This window comes from Homo sapiens, chromosome 13 (assembly GCF_000001405.40).
Source record: "Homo sapiens chromosome 13, GRCh38.p14 Primary Assembly".
In the NCBI taxonomy this organism is placed as follows: Eukaryota; Metazoa; Chordata; class Mammalia; order Primates; family Hominidae; genus Homo; species Homo sapiens.
Genome location: NC_000013.11, coordinates 31,075,236 through 31,096,736, shown reverse-complemented (window position 1 = coordinate 31,096,736; position 21,501 = coordinate 31,075,236). Strand labels below are relative to the sequence as shown.

Below are 21,501 nucleotides of genomic sequence, written 5' to 3'. Positions count from 1 at the left end.
CGTCCTCCTCTCCACCTGCCTTTCTAGGCTCAGGTCTCCCATTAAGTGCTTAAAAAGGCACTTCTTTGTTTCCTAAAAAAAGAAAAAAAATCCCCTAAGGAAGCTGCTACTGCTGGTAATGGAAGTGAAAAGATTGAACAATGAAAATGTCTTTCAAAATAACTTTTGGGTTCTATTTAGAAATCAAGAAATGTCTAATGGTACTATGTATGCTTTCTCAGGTATACCTTACTTGCACTTTGTAGGGGGAATTTTATACCACAGAAGGATTAATTTAAGAACTTCACAGGCTCAAGTGTTCTTCCTTTTGGAGATTCTATTCAATCAAACATATTAAAAGGCAACCACATCCCATATTTTAAAAATATTCCTATTTAATGTTAAAATCATGTAAACAAGATTTATAGTTTTAAGGTCTGTTGATAAAAATTATCTTATTCTTTCAAAATAAACTTCCATATTCTATATAACTATATATATAAATAAAATTATAGGTGGTATGTAATATGTTGTAAACATTTAATTAAACTTTTATTAGTTTTAATTGTGCAGTTTTCAAACATTTTCCGAGGCACTAAAAGTTGGTGGTCCCTAGTGCTATATGACCAAATGGACAACATTTATAATGTTATTTATAAATTTGGGCTTCATGAAGACATTGGTCTATATTCTCTCCTCTTCGAATGTCAACAGTGTAATGTAGTTTAGATCCTATGGATTGTGGCAGTGGCCATAATGATGTTATAAAGATTTCACACAGTGCCATATCTGCAAGGTGAGCAAATACTCAAATTAACAATTTCAGGCCGGGTGCGGTGGCTCATGGCTGTAATCCCAGCACTTTGGGAGGCCAAGGTGGGTGGATCACGAGGTTAAGACCATCCTGGCTAACACAGTGAAACCCCATCTCTACTAAAAATACAAAAAAATTAGCCAGGCATGGTGGCGGGTGCCTGTAGTCCCAGCTACTCGGGAGGCTGAGGCAGGAGAATGGCGTGAACCCAGGAGGCGGGGCTTGCAGTGAGCGGAGATCATGCCACTGCACTCCAGCCTGGGCACAAAGCGAGACTCCGTCACAAAAAAAAAAAAAAAACAATTTCATTCAGTCATTATTAGAGAGTTTATTAACAGCATGTACCTGCTAGAGTAATAGCTATGTGAGTATTTGTATCTCCATTCAACATCTACTTACCACCTACTGCCAGGGGAAATGTGCTTATCAAAAGTAATGTTATGGAAGAGGTGGGCTGCGTTACCATAGAATTAGAAGCTTACATGCTAATGGGGCCATTCATTCTGCCTAGATGGGGGATGGTGGGGGAGGGTCTAAGAAGGTTTCTCCAAGGAGCTGATATCTGAGTTGTGCCTTGAAAGAGAAGAAGGGTTTTGACAGATCAAGAAAGACAGAAGGCAAAACACAGATTCTCAGATCCCTGGGCTCAAGTGCCCACTGACTTGTTGGAGAGGGGATGCTCACTCTCAGGAAACAAACTAACACCATGATGTTGTAACCGCCTTTGCAAAAATCGTAACTGAGGAAATTATGACAGTGAAAGAGATCAGACCTAACTGACCCTGTTTTCCTTCTAATCTCTAAGCTGTCTTTGTTCATTCCTGGATGTAGGCCTAACTAGCCTTAGGAAGGAATTTAGCTTGTAGTTTAAACTCTGAAACAAAATTGATAATAGCCCTTTCCCCTAAAAACTCCTTGCCTGGGGACCAGCCTGCATTGTAGGACTAACAAATTAGCTACAAGATTAGAAATTACGGTTTAGAGGCCATGCAGCTTCTGGCTACAAAAGTCTCTCCAAATTGCTCCTGGGAATAACATCACTGTTGCAAAACCTAAGATCAGTGCTTGAGATATTTTGCACACCTTGCATTCCGATGTAGCAGATGACACCACCTAGACTGACAATCCAGCTCAACCAGTTCTAGGATCCCATCCAGAAACAGAAGTCAGCAAGAAGAACTCAGTTTGACCACCTATGATTTCATCTTCAACCTGACCAATCAGCACTCCCCGCTTTCTGAGCCCATACCCACCAAATTATCCTTAAAAACTCTTTTGAGTAATAATAAAACTCTGGTCTCCTGCACAGCCGGTTCTGCATGAATTACTCTTTTGCCCTTGCAATTCCACTGTCTTGATAAATCAGCTCTGTCTAGGCAGCGGGCAAGGTGAACTCACTGGGTGATTACAATATGAGGGACTAAGACGGGGTGGTCAGGGAGAGGGAGAAGCCTGTGTGAGTCAGGGTAGGGAAGAGAAATTCCATGGATATGCTGTGACTTGAGTTGGACCTTGAAGGATCACTAAGGTATGCAGAAGAGAAGAGCAAGAGGCAGGAAAGTTCCAGATGAGATGGTAAATGGTTGGACAGAGGCACAGGGCAGGAATGTGTAGGATGCTGAGAAGGTAAAATGTCGGCTTCATTGGAGTCACAAGAGAGTCTGATAAATAGAAGATAAATACTTCTTCATGAGCATGAACTCCAATACTTAGGAGCTGACCTTCTTTGAGATGTATTGAGACTGAGTTATCATAAAATAATTTTGAACAATAGATCTTGGTATCTGTAGAGAATGGGTTCCGGGACCACTGCAGATACCCAGATCCAAGGGTGTTTAAGTCTCTAAGATAAAATGGCATAATATTTGCATATAACCTAGCACAATAGTTGTTATGTTGTATTGTTTTTTTATTTGTATCATTTTTATCATTGTATTGCTGTTTATTTATTTGGAATATTTTTCATCCATGGTTGGCTGAATACATGGAGGCAGGACTCATGGGTGCAGAGAGCCAACTGTAATCTATTTTTAAAAATACTTAATAAAACCATGGTGATCACTTATTTCTGGAGCAGAAACTGGGCAAGAATGTGGGAAGACAACTGAGTCTCCCTGGGAGTGAAGCTGGAATGCATGTGATTATGACGAGGACATGGCGGGGCCTGTGGGGGGATGCTCTAAGGCCCGGAGAAGAAGGAGAGAGGGCATGGCCACATGCCCCAGGGCCGCTTTCATGTAACATCAGAGCCCAGGCCAGTGATTCAGAAAGTGACTGAAGTAATATTACGAGACTTCAGAGCATTAAAACATCATGGGTGTAGCTGGGGTGTGCCTTCCCATTAGCCTGAGGACAGAAGAACATGAATCATGGGATCTGTCTCTTTTTCGTATTCAATGAGCACTGATTATGCCCCATCCCCTTTGGGGGAACACTGCCTCATGCCAGTGGGCTGCATTTGAGCCATGAACAGGATGCAGATGGCATGGGCTTCACGAGCCCTTTTGTGAGGGGCAGTGGACATGGAATGCTCTGCAGAATCCTGTAACCTGGATTAGAGTTACAAGGTGTTAGGGTGGTAGTCATCATATTACACCACACAAGAGAACTGCAATGAAATAATGCTACCAGGATTATCCTTCCAGATAGCTCACACTATGGACCATGGAGAAACTGTACACGCTTTCATCTGACCATCATAGTAGGCTGTCCAAACAATACCTGATCCTCGGTAGAGTAGAATTGATTCTCTCATTGTTTACTTCCAGGGACAGAACATCCCCAGAACATGCTGTTCAGTTCTAAGGTGAGGACAGAGAGGCCAGGCTCTTCCTCTTAAATATATCATTGCTGAAGAGAGCAGGATGTGATAGTTACAGACGCTTGGGCGAAGCTGACCATGTGCCTGAAGGCTGGGTTGTACCTGTAGCACACCATGAGCTCTTGGTGGGAAAGTGTCAGGTGAGGCTCCAGGGCAGCTCTTGCTCAAGGAAAACAGAAAGAGGATGAACACTTGAGCCAACTGCATGACATGGTTACCCAGGGTGAGGTGTCCCCTGTGCTGTTAAAGGATGATCATGGGGAGAGGCTTTGGTTCAGATGACGGGTCTATGACCTTGGGCAAGTCCCTCAACTGCTCAAAACCCCAACTTCCTTATCTGTAAGATAGGGATTGTGACATCTACTTTAAAGGACTGTTTGGAGGATTAAATGAGAAAATATATAATGGCATGAGCACCGAACTTCACGTATGTAATTGGCATGCGATGAGCGGCAGTCACTGGTAAACCTCAGAACTGAGAACACACATCTCCTCTCCAAGCATGAGGCTTGTGAGACTGCAGAATAGATCTTCTTCCCTATTCATTTAGATCTTCCCACACACACAAATGTGTTAGTCCATTCTGAATCCTCGTGCATGAAAGGCAGTGCTTCTTGCTCCCAGCAGCGAGAAAGCCAGGTCAGATGGGCTGCTTCTGCCCAGGGGGGCCCTGCTGTGTGACTCCGGTGGGCATCCAGGTGCGAAGATCACACCTGAGCATGCAGGGCCTTGCTCCATGAACCATCTCTGAAGGTCAGCACACAGAAAGCCAGCCAGCCCTGGGGTTAAGCAACACAACCCCTGTGGACTAATTTTCGCGTCAGCAAAACGAATCCTTGATGGAAATTTGTGAGGAGTAAGCGAGAAGGATATGAAGTGTTTTTATTTAAAGGAGGAGCGTGGCAGGCAGTGGACACCTAAGAAAGGAATGTTGGTTCTGAGATCACCACTCCACCCTCTGCCTTTATTGTTGCTCCACTGCTTAGCCCCAAGTTTTGGCTGCAGTGGAACAGGTGAACTTCCCACAGATCTCAAGCCTCAGACCTGGTGCCCAGAAGATTCGTGGTATGGGAGAATCCTCTTCAAGAAAGAGCAGGATTTGGCATAAGAAATGTTTTCGGCCGGGCGCGGTGGCTCACGCCTGTAATCCCAGCACTTTGGGAGGCTGAGGCAGGAGGATCTCGAGGTCAGGAGATCAAGACAATCCTGGCCAACAAGGAGAAACCCCGTCTCTACTAAAAATACAAAAAATTAGCCGGGCGTGGTGGCGGGCGCCTGTAGTCCCAGCTACTCGGGAGGCTGAGGCAGGAGAATGGCGTGAACCCGGGAGGCGGAGCTTGCAGTGAGCCGAGATCGCGCCACTGCACTCCAGCCTGGGTGACAGAACAAGACTCGTCTCAAAAAAAAAAAAAAAAAAAAAAAAAAAAGAAATGTTTTCATGAAGGGTCTCTGGGCTTCGGGAAGCAAAGGTGGAGACTGGGTGTGGGAGGAGGAGGGAAGGCCCTGGGAAGCCCAGGCCCAAAGAGAAAACACGGGTTGCGGGCCAGCACCCTAATTCCTTCCCTCCTTTCCCCTTGCAGCACTGGGGGGGAAGGAGCTGAGGCTCCTCACTTCACAGATGAGGGTTGGGTAGCTGGATCCAGGTCACACAGCTCCTGAGTGACAGAGCAGGGATGCCGGGAGCGGGGGCGGCGGGGGGTTGGGAGATGAACTATCTGGCACTTAAGCATTGGCACTAGAGATTGAGGCTGTGTTTGCTATGAAGTGGAATTTCAGTCACCTTGCTCCAAAAAAATCAATCAAACATGCTGTTTGTTCTACACAATGCTATCATGTAGAACAAACAGCAGCTTGATTGATGGAAGCTTCTGTTTCTCAGCTGGTTATTTTGCCATCTTGAGTGAAGACCCTGCTCCCGAGCCCGGCTGTGATGATGACTTGGCAGCTGCTCTGCTCCGGCTCTCTCAGTCCTGAACAGGAAGGCTGTTTCACGGCCTCGGCGAGCACGTCGGAAAGGGAGGGGACAGACACAGGCAGCGGCCGCACATTCTAAACTTCTCCATGTAGTTCTGGTGCTGTGAGGTTTGATCACTTTTCCCTGAAGTTAACTCTTGACATGTGATTTAATCACTGAGTCCAATCACTGTATTTGAGAATCTTCTTGTGCCTGTGTTCACAAATCAAGAAAAAACATTGGGGAGGCCACACGTCATGATTTTTGGCTCAGGAAATCCAGTCATCATTACCATATAGATGGGATTTGAAATATGTAAGCTGTAAGAGTCAGCTGAAAGTAAAAGTTTTCCTGAGTCCTTTTTTTAGCTCCCATAAACTCTTGAGTTTGGATTTGGGATATTGCTGAACACGGAGGGGGCAGCTGCTGATGGGGAGCGAAGAATGTGTTTGTATTGGTGCAGCAAGGCGGGTAATGGGGCAATGACAGTGGGTCACTCTTGACCCATGAGTGGGTCACTCTTGACCCATGTGTGGGCTATGATGGCAGATTTCAAAGTGCAGGTGGTGGTTGCTCACAGCCCCGCTGGGTGGGCAGGGTAGAGCTCCTCCCCTGGGGAGCCTGGGAAAAGGGTCATGACTGACCCCACATCTACTGGGCCTCTCAGGACCATCTGAATGAAGCCCTCTTTGCAGGCTCTGGAAAAAGGAGACTAGTCAATGCACCTCCTATTGTCTGATTGTTTTTTTTAAAAAGCATAGGGCTTGTCTTTCCCTTTGAAGTCACAGAGAGCTCAGCCTTTCCAATGAAAGTGGCCCAGTGCATGGAAAGCTGCCGACTGGGCGTCCCAAGACAGGATAATAACCGCCCCAGTTCTCCTCTGTGCCCTGGGGCAATGCATTGCCTTCTCTATGCCTCTGTTTGCTTCTCTGTAAAGCTTCAGAGTTGGGCTAGATGACTACTGGGTATCTGGGAGGTAGAACTTAAAACTCTTCAGGAAGATCAGGCAGTCTCAGCATAGGCAGGACAGAGACGGGCAGCTGGAGCCGATAGGCATTCAATGTCCTCAGTGACCTCACTCAGTGGGAAAAGGTAAGGCAGGCGGCCACTCATTTTCTTTACTGAGGAGGCAATGGCAACGTGGCTTGGCAAAGGTGTGCCAAAGAAACCAAGCTTGGTTTGGTTGGAAACCAAGCAAACCTCACCTGCAGAGGAATCAAGGAGGCTTGGGTCTTGAGGCACTAGAGCTCCTGGACACTAAGGCCCTGGGCAGAAGCAGCCCACCCGGGGACCCTCCATCCAGCCTACGTCATCACCTGGGTGTGTGCTATCCCTGCATGACTGTCCTGCCTCAGGGACAGGGGTCTCAGACATGGGTCACTGCTGAGGCAATGAGACTGGTGGGCTGGCCCTCCAGGGCTGTCTCTGCTTGACATCTGCCTGTCAGGTCAATGTTTTTTGGCTGAATAAACAGCTCCCCATAGTAAATTTTAGGGCAATTTACTATAGGAGTAGGGCCAGTGGGTAGAATAGGCCTAAGAGATAGATCACAGGCTTTTCAATAGCATAGGAAGGTGGTGCTGGAGTAATTAATGGGAAATGTTAAAGAGAGCTCACCAAAAATATCCTACAAGCTGGGGACACAGGGCCTGCAATTCGGGAGCCTGCACATCGATCTTCACTGCAGAACATTAAGCAGAAGGCTGAAAACAGCTGCACAGGGCTCCGCAGAACCCTCTAGAGAACTGAGTGCTTGGAGCCAAAAGGACAACTCCATACCTCTGTCTCAGGCACAGGAGTGCAACAGTGTCAGTGCCCACACACACAGCTCGGGGGCCAGGGAGTTAGAGGCAGGCTGTGAGCTCACCTTTAGCCCACCGGCTTTTGACAAGGCCATAAACAAGCAGCTGTAGGCTTCCAGATCTCAGATCTGAGAAGGAGATGGGGGAAAATGTAATTAGAGGTCTTGAACAGCCTGCTGTGCAGCCGCTATCTGTCGTGGGGCCTGGCTTGGCTTGACCGAAATTTAAACACTGCCCTATACCCACCCCACCAAAATAATATATTGAAATGGGTTCCTTCTCCTTAGTTGTTTGCAAAAGAAGCAGACAGTGAGGCCTGTGTTCCTGGTCCCTTCTGCCATGCTGAAGCTGCCTGAGGAGAGGGGATACCTGCCCCCAGGCCACTCGGGCGATGTGCTTTACTGTCCCCTACAAGGAGAAGACCAGTGACATCTCTTTCCATGGACCTTACTTTCATAGCAGAGCTGAACACCACGCATCTGATTTGTGACACAGAGCTACCTCTGCCCTCATATAGGTTCCCCTTTCTTTTTTTTTTTCTTTTTTTTTTTTTTTGAGACGGAGTCTCGCTCTGTCGCCCAGGCTGGAGTGCAGTGGCGGGATCTCGGCTCATTGCAAGCTCCTGCCTCAGCCTCCCAAGTAGCTGGGACTACAGGCGCCCGCCACTACGCCCGGCTAATTTTTTGTATTTTTAGTAGAGACGGGGTTTCACCGTTTTTAGCCGGGATGGTCTCGATCTCCTGACCTCGTGATCCGCCCGCCTCCCCTTTCTTAAAACAGGTTTTCAAAACCAGTCACTAGGGAGATATTTGAAGGACACAGGGAATACACTTCAGGGTGGATATTGACTGAGCACATAAGTCCAGAGCCACCTGCTTGGTTTGGAATCTCAGTGCTATCTCCTAACAGGCAAGTGACTACACTCTCTCTCCCTGGTTTTTCATCTATAAAATGGGAGAATAATAATAGTACCTACCTTGTAGAGTTGTTTTAGGGAATTAAAAAACTAAAAAAATAGAATGCTTAGAATAGTGGCTACAACATGGCAATAGTACAACATGATCAAAATGATAATAGTGGCCGGGCGTGGCGGCTCGCCCCTATAATCCCAGCACTTTGGGAGGCCCAGGTGGGTGGATCACCTGAGGTCAGGAGTTCCAGACAAACCCGGTCAACATGGTGAAACTCCATCTCTACTAAAAATAAAAAAATTAGCCAGGCATGGTGACAGGCACCTGTAATCCCAGCTACTCAGGAGGCTGAGGGGAACTGCTTGAACCCGGGAGGCAGAGGTTGCAGTGAGCCAAGATCGTATCACTGCACTCTAGCCTTGGCAACAGAGCGAGACTCAGTCTCAAAAAAAAAAAAAAATTAAATTAAATAAATAAATAAATAAAATGATGATGGTACTGCCAGTCATTTCTTGCGATTGGTGTGTAAATCATGGCATAGTTCTTATAGTAGCTTCATGTGCTGTGGCCTGGTGAGGGCTGCAAGGGAGGACTGCATCCCTGGGGGAGAAGCAGTCAGGCCAAGTGTGAATTTGGGAAGATGATGATTGTCACAAAGGCAGTGGTTGTTTAGTGAGATGACATGTACCAGATGTTGTGTTAAATTCTTTACATGCATTGTTTTGTCTACTCTTTGTTGTGGGTTAAATTGTGTCCCCCTCAAATTCATATGTCGAATAACTCCCGTACCTTGGAATGTGACCTTATTTGGAAATAGGGTTGTTGCAGAGGTAATCAGTTAAGAGAAGGTCCTACTGATGAGTAGGTTGGGCCCTGAATGCTATATGACTAGTGTCCTTATAAAATGGGGAAATTCAGGGATAGACACGTACAGAGGAAGAATGCCACGTGAAGATGAAGAGAGACAGATCCCGATAACGCTTCTACAAGCCCAGGAATGCCAAAGATCACCAGCAAGCCACTAGATATGAGGTGAGGAGCACGGGACCAATGTTCGATCACAGCCCACAGAGGGAACCAACCCTGCTGACACCCTGATTTCAGCCTCTCAGCCTCCAGAATGGCGAGATAATACGTTTCTGTTGTAAAGCTGCTTGCTCTGTGGTACTTTGTTATGGCACACCCAGCAAATTAATACTCTCTTAGACAAACTTTGGGGGGTAAGCATGGTCCGTTGAGTCCCAGCAAGGTTAAATAACACAACCAAGTTTACACAGCTGGGAAGGAGCTAAACCAGAGGGTTAACCTCAGGCCAGTCTCCCTCCAGAGCATCACAGGAAAATCTAAGGATTAGAGTGGGTGGGGTGTGCCTGAATGGAGTTTTTTCCTCTTCCGAGTCTCCACTAAACAAATTAGCTTTGGTGAGATTTGAAGCCTTTACCTCCTAAGCCAGACTCTATTTGTGGTTTGTATACCCTGTGTTTATTTTTCTGTAGTTCTCCCTAGCAGTTAGTGAACTCATTCTGACAGTCCCAGCCTTTTTAATCTATGCTTTTAAGTCATGACATAAAACAGGGGAGCTGTACTTCCCAGCAGGGCAGCATGGGGACAGCCGTAGTGATCACAGTACAATAATCCCATGGAAAAGGTGGCCCTTCGGGCTGCTTTTTCAAGGAGCATTCTCTCTCCTTTCTGGAATATTGGTTTGTTTGAAGGTGCTCCGTTTTCTGGATAGAAAGGTAACATACATAGCTATTATCAGTCACTAATACCTCCATGTGAATTCATTTATCTGTTGATTTGTTTCACACTTAATGACATAAGGTTGCTTAGAGAAGGAGGATTTTAATGCTGGGGAGGAGCACAGAGCTAATTCTGGAGCCTGGGAAGAAGGATGTCAGGTGGGATGCTATACAGGGACTCCCACCAAAGTCCAAGAAGGGAAAGGTGGGAAGAAACTCTTCATATTGAAGTTGAAGCCGATTCAGCAAATTGGCCTTAAGTCCTCCAAATATAAATAGCCATCAAAAAGTAACCACCACTGACGTATCTGTTGTCAGCCCAGCACCCACCTTTTTTCTAAGAGTGGTCTTGGCACCCATGCCTCGCCAATCTGTGTCCTTTCCTCCAATTGTTCCAGCTGGCGCTAGTAGTGAAACTGAAATTGGAAGATGAGTTCAGGGCTGTGGGCATCTATGTTCCCTACCATTTGGAGGGAGAAAAGCTGTCTGCAGGAGGAGCTGAGGAGGCCAAGGTGTACCAAGGAGCAGAAATGAGAAACGCAGGCAGAGAACATGCTAGCAACAGTCCCATCTCTGAACCCAGCTGCCCATGAGGCCAACTGTTCCATGATCTGGTTTCAATCACCAACAAATCCTCCTTTTTAAACTCCAGCTATTTGAGTTAGAGTTTTGTCTCTTGGGCTCAAATGAGTCACCTGGTAAAACTCTGCGTTGGTGAGCACACTTTCTACATGACCTTGAATGAGCTCAACTACCCTACATGTGGGTCTTTCACCCATTTAGTAAGAGAGTGTATGAATGATCAAAAGAATTAAGGAACTCAGTTCAGAAGGATTGAATAATTCACCCTAGGTCATCTAGCCTGTGGCATTTTCACAATTGAAACTCAAGAATGTATGTCTCCAAAGTTTTCTGTCCCCCTCAGAAGCTATGCTTCTCTGTCTACATGTAGAGTTGTTGCTGAGAAGTGCTGCCAAACGAAGGCATGACCCAGTTTCCCTTTTATCCAGAGTAGTCGGGAGCTCAGCCATGGGATGTGAGAGGCAGTGATGCATGTGACTTCTGACTGGGATTCAGAAGAAGCAGGTGTGCCCTCTCTACTGTCACATCCCTTGCATGTGGATGCAGAGGACTCTGAGGACCTATGGCAGGGGAGCCACCCGCTGGAGAGAGGCTGGCCCTCGGGTGGGAGAGAAGCACCCACTCACCAGGGGCACTGGTGTTGGATGTCACAGAAGACAGAAATAAACTTTGGCTGTAACCTATTGAAAACGTGGGGTTTATTTGTTACAGTAGAAGCCTTACCCCAACGAATACACCATGCCTATCTTCCTTGCAAGAGATCATTTTCTTTCCATCTGAATTCCGGTCGACACAAAATAGCTCTGTTTGTGATATGCAATTTTAAATTCACAGAAAATAACAAGTGAAAAAGGAAATCTGAATCTGTCACTTTACTCTCCTTCAGAGAATGCCAGAAACCAGCAGACTTCCGAAATGTTTTGTGTGTCCCTGCGATTTACAGGAGTAAAATATTTGGGCTGAAAAATCAATTCAAAGAATGAAGACTCTCAGATCAGGCATGCTAGAAATCTAGCTGTTTGGCTTCTAGTTGATTAGTTTTTATTTGATAGGAATAATATATTCTGAAATAATGTACAGGCCATATTTCCAAGATAGGATTTCGATATATTTTAAATACACATTGGGATGTGATTCAATATGCCTGAATCATCATAGGCAAGATGCTAATCTTGTAATCATGAGTTTAGATTGGGAGAAAATGGAGTGGCACTAGGGAAAGAAAATAGGATATAAGACATGTCCCCACATACAGAATTATGATTATCTGAGGGTGGCAAATTTTGGGGGAAAAAAAGAAAATCTCATTAAAAATATGAAGTCTCCAACTTTGTGGCTTTGGATGATGCTTTTGGATGAATTTTATCTTTAAAATAAATCAAAAACCAAAGTTCACAAATCTTACCATTTTAATGAAGTTTGCCCAGAGGACTGAATTGAATTTGGATCCTTGCTGTATCACCAACTTAATTTTATATCCTCATCATCACCATGGGATGGACTCTAAGCTCACTATACAGGAGCCCTATTGGACCCATACAGAAAAAAATCCCAGCACATCCCAGGGCTCCAGTATGCAGTGTCTGAAGGTTTTTTCTTCTTTGCTCACTCTCACTCCCTTTGAGATCTCATCCATTCCATGGCTTAAAATTCCATCTAATTGCTAATGACTCCCAAATTCATATCTCTGGCCCTGGCACCTCCCCTAAACTCAGGACAACTCTATCCAACACATCCACAACAGAGCTCCTGGTTTTATCCCCCTGTCACTCACCATATTGCTTGTCTTAGTCTTTAGCTCACACCCCAAACCTTGGTGTCATCTTTGGCTCCCCTCTTGCCCTACCCCCTTAAAAATGCTTTCAGTGGTTTTCAGTATATCCACATAAGTATTCAGCCATCACCACTACCTAATTTTCAGAGCATTGTCATTATTCCTAAAAGAAACCCCATACCAATAGCAGCCACTCCTTACTCCTACCTCACCCCAGCCCTGGCAACTTCATAACTCCTTTCTGTTATGGGTTGGCCTATTCTGGACGTTTCATATAAATGGAGCAAAATAATATGTGGCTTTTTGTGACTGGCTTTCACTTAACATAATGTTTTCAAGGTTAATCTGTGTTGTAACATATCAGTACTTTATTTCTTTTTGTTGCTGAATACTATTCCATTCTACATTTACACCACATTTGGTTTACCCAATCACCAGTTGATGGACATCTGGGTTGTTTCTACTTTTTGCCTATTATAAATAATGCTGCCATGAATATTCATATGCAGATTTCTGTGTAAACATACAGTTTCAATTCTCGAGTATATTCCTGGGAGTGAAATTGCTGGGTCTATAGGCAACTTAATGTTTAACATTTGAGAACTGCCAACATGTTTTCCAAAGTAGCTGTACCATCTTAATTTCCTACCAGCAATGTAGAAGGGTTCCAATTTCTCCATATTCTTGTCAATATTTGCCTATCTTTTGATTTTAGCCATCCTAGTGGGTATAAAAAGAAATCTCATTGTGGTTTTGCTTTGTATTTCCCTGTGACTAATGATGCTGGGCATCTTGTCATGTACTTATTGGCCATCTTTGAAGAAACGTCTATTCAAATCCTTTGCCCATTTTAAAACTGGGCTATTTGTATTTTTATTGCTGAGCTTAAGAGTTCTTCATATTCTGCATAGGCAACAAAAGCTAAAATAGGCAAACAGGACTCTATCAAACTAAAAAGCTTCTGTACAACAAAGGAAACAATCAGCAGAGTGAAGAGACAACCTGTAGAATGGGAGAAAATATTTGCAAACTACTCATCTTACAAGGGATTAATTTCCAGAATATACCAGGAACTCAAACAACTCAATAGCCAAAATAAATAAATAAATAAATAAAATGGATTTAAAAATGGTGGTAAGAGCAGGTATCCATGTCTGTTTCCTGCTTCCCGATCTTAGGGGGAAGGAGCTTTCACCAGTAAGTATAATGTCAGCTGTGAGTTTCATGCAGATACCTTTTATTGGGTTGACATATTTTTCTTGTATTCCTAGATTGTTGAATAGCTTTATTATGAAAGGGTGTTGGATTTTGTCAAATGCCTTTTCTGCACCTATTGAAATAATTATATGGTCGATTGTCTTTTATTCTGTTAATATGGTATATTACATTGATTTTCATATGTTGAATCATGCTTGCGTTCCTGGGATAAAATCTATTTGGTCATATTGTATAATTCTTTTTGTATGATTCAGTTTGCTAGTATTTTGTTGAGAATTTTTGAATCCATATTTGTAAGAGACATTGGTTTATAGTTTTCTTGTGATGTTTTTGAGCTTGGCATCAGGATACTGGGCCCATAGGCTGAGTTAGGAAATGTTTCCTCCTCTTCTTTGTTTTTTTAAAAGAGTTTGTGAAGGACTGGTGTTAATTCTTCTTTAAGTGATTGCCATAGAAGCCTAGACTTTTCTTTGTTCGAAGTTTTTTTTTTTTAAACTAATAATTCAATCTCTTGATTTTCTTTTTCTTCTTGAGCCAATTTTAATAGTTTGTGTTTTTAGAAATGTGTACATTTCATCTAGGTTATCTAATTTGTTGGCATACAATTGTTCGTAGTATTTCCTTATAATCCTTTTTATTTCTTTGAGATTGGTGATGTTCCCTCTTTCATTCTTGATTTTAGTAATTTGAGTTTTTTCCTTTTTTCCCCTTGGTGAATCTAGGTAAAGTTTTGTCAATTTGGGTGATTTTTCAAAGGAATAAAAATTCTTGGTTCTGTTGATTCTCTGTATTGATTTTCTATTCTCTATTTCATTTATTTCCACTCTAATCTTACTTACTTCCTTTGGCTTGCTTTGGATTTAATTTGCTCCTCTTTTTAAGTATCTTAATGTGGAAAGTGAGATTATCGATTTAAGATCTTTTTTGTTTACAGATGTTTATGCCTTTAAGCACCGCCTTCGATGCATCCTGTATGTTTCAGTGAGTCATGCTTTTATGTTTTTGCTCTTATTTTTAGAAACTTCTCTAGTGTATCACCAAATCCTCTTGTCTCTGCTTTTAGTTGCCTGTCTTCAATATCTTTTATGTCACCCTTTGGGATAGGTATGTTTGGAAATTCAAATAATTTTGAACTTTTAAAGGTCATATAGCACATTAATGCCCCCAGTGGACTTGGTGGCAGCACCACATAATCGGACACATTTATATTTCTGTAGCAAAACCTACAAATATTAACTTCAAGTGGAATAAAGACTGTTAAACAGCCTCAAATCAGTTCAGGTTGTTTCATTGCCAAGTGAATGTGACTCAACCTTATTAAAAGAAATTCAGTTGTCGGGACTTTTTGAAGTGTGGAATTTTGAATAAGGGATTGCTAATCTGTGTATCCAGAACCAAACCACTTCTCTCCACTCTCTTGAGACCACCTTGCGCAAGCCAGCATCACCTCTCACTCAGGCTGTTGCAGAAACCTCCGGACTAATCTGTTGTTTCAGCCCTGGCCACCCTATAATCTATTAGCAACACAACAGGATGAGAGTCTGTGAAAATGAAAATCATATCATGTCATGCCTGTGTCTCAAGAAACAAGAAACAAAACCAAACAGCAACAAACCAAAGCCCTTAGCCAGGCCTCTACGGCCCTCTGCAATACACCTCCTGCATACCATCATGTTTCTATTCGATCTCATCTCCTCTCGACTCTCACCTCAGGGACTTTGCACTCACTGGTTCCTGTGCCTGCAACACTCTTTGCAGATAAATGCATGGCTTGCCCCTTCATTTCTTTCAGACCTTTTTGTATACGTCACCTTACTGTGGTCATTCCTGACCAGCCTATTAGAGACAGGAAACGAATTTCCTTGCTCTCTCTCTCCCCACTGCCTACCTTACTGCCATAGCACCTGTCACCATCTAACATACTATTTCCTTGATTTATTTTACTTATTTCTGCCATCCCTTCTCCATCCCTCCTCCCCATGAGACTGTAACCTCCATGAGAGCAGGATATTTTGACTATTTTTGTGTGTGCTGTATCTCCCATTCCTAGAACATGTTTGACACACGGTAACATTCAGTAGATTTGCTGAATGAATGAATAAATGAATCAGGCCTGCTCCTTGTGATCACAGACTAGGCAAATCTATTGCATTAGTCTCCTAGGCTGCCATAACCATCTGGGTGGCTTACACAACAGAAATCTATTTTTTGCACAGTTCTGGCAGTTGGAAGTCCAAGATAAAGGTATCAGCAGGGTTGGTTTCTTCTGAGGCCCTTCTTGTTGGCTTGCAGAGGGTGACATTATTGTCTTGCAAGTCTTCTCGCTCTCTTCACATGGTCGCTCCTCAGTCTGTGTATGTCCACATTGCCTATTCTTATAAGGACACCAGCCATAGTGCATGAGGGGCCCACTCTACTCAAGTATGACCTTTGTTTAACTAATTATATCAGCAGTGACCTTATTTCCAAATAAGGTCACATTCTAGGTGCTAGGGGTTAGGACTTCAACATATGTGTTTTGGGGAAGGAAGATATAATTGAGTCCATAACATCTATGAATCATTTATGATGTGAGTGGTCAGTGAGCTGGCTTCTGTATCTATACAAAGCAGTAAAATTGATTTCTTTTCTAAGTATCCCACATTCCTTTGATTTACTCCAGACTCCCTCCCTCCAGCCCCATGAGAGTCCAGAATAGAAGGTGGAAAAGTTAGGAAAACTTGTCATTTTCTTTGGAAAAGCATGTGAAATGACAGCTGAAGCAGATCAATGAGACTTCTTTTTGTATAAAAAGTAGTGCAAGATGGCAGTCACAGGGTTACCACATTTTAGAGGTGGACAGGATCTTAGGTGTAAAGAGAGGTGGAAAGGCAAGTGAAATCAAGATGGTAATATTACTCCCTCCAGCAGGCTCAGAAATTCTAAGCCTTACAAGTGACATTTCAGAAAGGGCCCAGTTGCCCTATGTGTTTTTCAAAATAAGGTGATAAGCAATGGTGGTAAGGGCCACTGCCTCCCTGAGGTCCCATTCCATCCCCAGCAACACTTCTCTCTCCTCCAACACACACTGTTGGGACTATTTGGGACAGGGATTACTTGCACAGTATGCATACAGGGCCCTAAATCCTGCAGTCTACTCACCCCAACACAAAACACCTGGTATGAAAAGTTCACTGCGAGTTCAATTGCCTACATATCCTCTCTTTGCAAAGCAATCTCACATAGGTAAATACCATTTGAGTGAGGCTCCTCAAACTGTCAAAGAGGGGAAAAGAAAAATATGAAAAGGAGACCTTCCCTCTCTGAACCTGTCTTGGAGGATGCATCAAAATACAGAAGAGGGAAGACCTTAATCGTATTGTTGGTGGACATGGAAAATATTTTGTTGTCCTTAGCAGATATGTGGATGTGGATCACTGGAGCCATGCAGCTTCTCAGCCTACCTGTTGGTTTTCTGGAATGGAAAAAGAACAGATGAATGCAAGGCAGCTCTATCTGCTATTTCTAAATAAAAACGCAAAACTAAATTGGCCTGGATCTGGCAGTTCTATTCAGCCTGGAGGAGGGTTATGTCTCCCTCTGAAATTACACAAGTATATCTTGTGTGATAAAAGGATTGAAGCAAATAATACCCAGCTATAGCAACATAACTCAGGGTGAGATGAAGCCTTGGGCTTTGTTTCTCCAACTGTTGACAATAATCACTATAAAAGGAATACATGAGGAAGAGCCCAGGGTGTGGTTGGAATGGATTCCGTGGTAGTTTTTTGTTGCTTTATTCAGGCTGGAGTGAACAGTATTAAAATTTTTGGGGGTGGGGATGGCTTTTTAATATGAGTTTGTTTTAAGGACCTCTGAGGGATTACAGTGCCCTTGCAGGGTCTCAGGGCTGGGAGGGTTAGAGGGAGAAGATAAGCAGGGCTGAGGTTATATTTTTAAGAATAACCAAGTCAGTGAAAAGTCAGCAAATTGTTCTCAATTACCAGACAAATGGGAGTCTTAGTAGAAGTGGGCAGAAAATAATTTCTTTCTTATTCTGCATCTGACATTGTGTTGAGTGTTTTGTGTGTCTTATCTCATTTTCAGTCTTTATTACTGCTCCGGAAGGTGGGTCCTCTTATCACCATTACAGATGAGGAAATGGGGGCTGTAGAACTTGGTCAGGTTGGAAGGCAGCAACATAGTGAGACCCCCCGTGCTAAGCTATGACACAGCACCGTCCTGGCACTTCCTGCCACTGCTGAGCACAGGGTCCCCTTGTGGACCCCCCCACTGATGCCAGGGAGGAAGGCTCTGCCGGGAACTTTGGCACGTCCTCCATGACTTGTCCTCATCCCTGGTTCCCACTATCAATGCAGGAGAGATCAGCTCCCCATTTCCCACTCTCCTCCCATCTTCAACACTTCTCAGCAGAAATGACAAGCCTGCATTTAAACCCTAATTCTGCCATTACTTCTAAGAAGTTATTTAACTTCTCTGCGCTTCAGTTTCTTCATTTCTAAGTAGGGTTGATGGGAGGATTAGAGATAATGTACTGGGTTGTAGAACCCAGTAAAATGGTAGTTAATTGTCAATATCTCAAGAAAGTGTTCCTGGAGCACTTGCTTGATAGGGGCACAGGATGAAAGGCAGGGGCTGATCGTAAAGAGAACGATGTTATCCATTGAGGGTGTGATGGTACCACACCTTTACTGCTTACACTGATTACCCTGCTACCCCAATTCTAGGTTTTCCAGAACAACCCATTTTCTTTCTTTCTTTCTTCCTTCCTTCCTTCCTTCCTTCCTTCCTTCCTTCCTTCCTTTCTCTCTCTCTCTCTCTCTCTCTCTCTCTCTCTCTCTCTCTCTCTTTCTTTCTTTCTTTCTTTCTTTCTTTCTTTCTTTCTTTCTTTCTCTTTCTTTCTTTTTGAGGTGGAGTCTTGCTCTGTCACCCAGGCTGGAGTGCAGTGGCGCGATCTCAGCTCACTGTAACCTCTGCCTCCCGGAACAACCCATTTTCTTATGTCAGTTTCACCTGCCCTTTTATGTCAATTCTGCTACACCTTAGGGATGGTAGAGTCATTCACTGTGATAGGGCTAAACAACCCCAGTGGAGAAGTGAGTGAATACTTAGGGAGATCTGTGTGAGGTACACTGAAAAAGGTACACTGATTGCACATCAAAATCCCTAAGTGCTCTGTACCACTGATCATGGTTCATTGTAGGAAAATAGCAATCTGATTGTATTTTATTTTTATTTATTAATTTATTTATTTTTAGACAGAGTCTCACTCTGTCACCCAGGCTGGAGTGCAGTGGCATGATCTTGGCTCACTACAGCCTCTGTCTCCCAGGTTCAAGCGATTCTCGTGCCTCAGTCTCCCAAGTAGTGGGGATTACAGGCACATGCCACCACACTCGGCTAATTTTTGTATTTTTTAGTAGAGACGGGGTTTCGCTATGTTGACCAGGCTGGTCTCGAACTCCTGACCTCAAGTGATCTGCCCGCCTCAGCCTCCCAAAGTGCTGGGATTACAGGTGTGAGCCACCGCACCCGGCCCTAGCAATCTGGTTTTAAAAATCCTCAGCTGTGGTGAATGATGGGTCCACACAGTCTCTTTGTCCTTGTAAAGTATTTACATTTTAAATGAGCTGTAATAAACTCCAAAGAATGAATCTTTAAAGGCCACAAAAGGAAGTTTCACAGGCTGTGCATATGGGGGATTAATTTTGGATGTAAATTCTTAAGTTATTCTAATAGGAATTTAGGGGCCCCTACTCCGGCTTTTGTGCACCTTACTACATCAATGGCACTCTTGGTTGGAGAAAGACAGCTTACCCAGGCAGGCAGATAAGCATTCCAGACTCTAATTATTTGATTCTTTCCACCTGTCAGCAGCAAGTTCTTTCCTTACGGAATGAAAACGTCTTGACTCCTTTGTAGTTACAAAAGATTGTTTGATCACATTCTGCTCGCCTTTGGGGCAAACCAAGGAATGCTTGGCCTTTTCTTGTCTTAACATCTTTTCTAACATTCCTTATCTCTTTCGTCTTTTGCTTGACATTTGTTGTTCCCATAGTGCACCCTAACAATATTCACAGGAAAACGATATACAGTTTCTTAATATGATCAGTCAATTTCCTGACAGGTTGCTGATTTTTAAAGGTCTCAGGTTCATTTTCAGTGATGACTAGTGTTTTCTTCTTCTTTCGCCCCCAGGTGTTAAACCACAGATAGTCTGAAGAATAAAAGTGATGCGGGTAGGAAAAACAAGATGTTTCTCCCTCCTCTAATAAGAGACAAGAAGAGTCACCTGGGAAAGAAAAGTGACATAAAGAAAGTCACTGTATTTGGAGAAAACTTTTATTAAATTTCTACCTAGTGCCAAGCCCTCTCCAAAAACAATCTTGTTTGAGCCTCACTCAGTGAGGCAACCATCTTCATCTCCGACTTACAGGTAAGAAAACTTAACCTAAAAAGGTTAAGAAGCTTGTCATCAAGAAATGGTACAACCAAGCCTAAAATCCAGACTGACTCTTAAATTGAGGCTCATTGAGTTGACCTACGCGTTCCATCAACCAACCAGCAATTTTGTCCTACAATTCTTTTGGCAGGTATTTTCAGGCAAATGACTTATTGGCTTATGAATCTACTGAAAACAGAATCAAAATAGTAGCATCAAACAGAAGCAATCAAAGGTCCTCCCATAGGTTTAAACATCATTCTCACCAGAAGGTCATGAAGGAAATCCTCAGTACACACATCAGGGCCTCTCCCATCTCCCCTCCACACCATCTGGCTTACTCTGATTGCTGACTTCTGCCTTGTCCAAGGGGACTGAAAGTGCCTTGGAGGAAGAAGGTAGAAGAACAATCTTCAGCTTCCCACTCCCTTCATCCCTAGATAAGAACTCTCTTCCATCATGTGTGACTTCAGCTATGAGTTGAGGGATAATTGGTTTTGTTTGAGTGTTGTGCATGTTACTACAAGTTACCAGTCCAAATATTTTTCAGGAATCATGGAGAAGAATTTTCTGTTTAGGAAGTTTCAGTCAGGTGTAGTGGCTCACACTTATAATCCCAGCACTTTGGGAGGCTGGGCAGGAGGATAGCTTGAGCCCAAGAGTTCAAAACCAGCCTGGGCAACATCATAGCAAGACCGTGTCCCTACAAAAAATGAAACAAATTAGCTGGGTGTGGTTGTTCATGCCTGCAGTCCCAGCCACTTGGAAGACTGAGTTAGGAGGATCACTTGAGCCCAGAAGTTTGAGGCTGCAATGAGCTATGATCATGCCACTGCACTCTAGTCTGGGCAACAGAGCAAGATCCTCTCTCTAAATTTTTTTAAAATAAATAAATAGAAAAGTTCAACCAGAGTGAATGTATGCTTAATCTGGAAGGATGAGTGCAGCTCCATCCAGTAGACCCTTGTCAAATAGAACTCTAACACAGATCTGCTTAATTTTCAAGATTAGTGGGAAGTCTCTATTTTTGTTAGAAAGTTCCAGAACTTTAAATATTACCCGGTTTCAAAACATGTTTTAAGGCTGGGCGCGGTGGGTCACGCCTGTAATCCCAGCACTTTGGGAGGCTGAGACAGGTGGATCACGAGGTCAGGAGATCGAGACCATCCCAGCTAACACGGTGAAACCCCGTCTCTACTAAAAATACAAAAAATTAGCTGGGCATGGTGGCAGGCACCTGTAATCCCAGCTGCTCGGGAGGCTGAGGCAGGAGAATGGCGTGAACCCAGGAGGCGGAACTTGCAGTGAGCCGAGATCATGCCACTGCACTCCAGCCTGGGTGACAGAGCGAGACTCCGTCTCAAAAAAAACAAAACAAAACATGTTTTAAATACTGTGCTTATCCATGGCTGCCTTAGCTCATGCTGCCTCTTGGGACCCTGGGTTTAGGGGCATGTCACTA

At 43.8% G+C, this 21,501-nt stretch overlaps 1 pseudogene, besides 1 other annotated feature; it reads right to left on the bottom strand.

The window, feature by feature from the left end:
• The window catches only part of WDR95P (WD repeat domain 95, pseudogene), a 38,446-nt pseudogene extending 18,963 nt beyond the window's left edge, over nucleotides 1-19,483 (bottom strand).
• Nucleotides 6,228-6,796: an enhancer, noted in NCBI's record as "H3K4me1 hESC enhancer chr13:31664078-31664646 (GRCh37/hg19 assembly coordinates)". NCBI's record gives its function as "activates a minimal SCP1, AML or CMV promoter by ChIP-STARR-seq in primed H9 embryonic stem cells {active_cell/tissue: H9 hESC(primed)}" and the evidence as "EXISTENCE:reporter gene assay evidence [ECO:0000049][PMID:30033119]".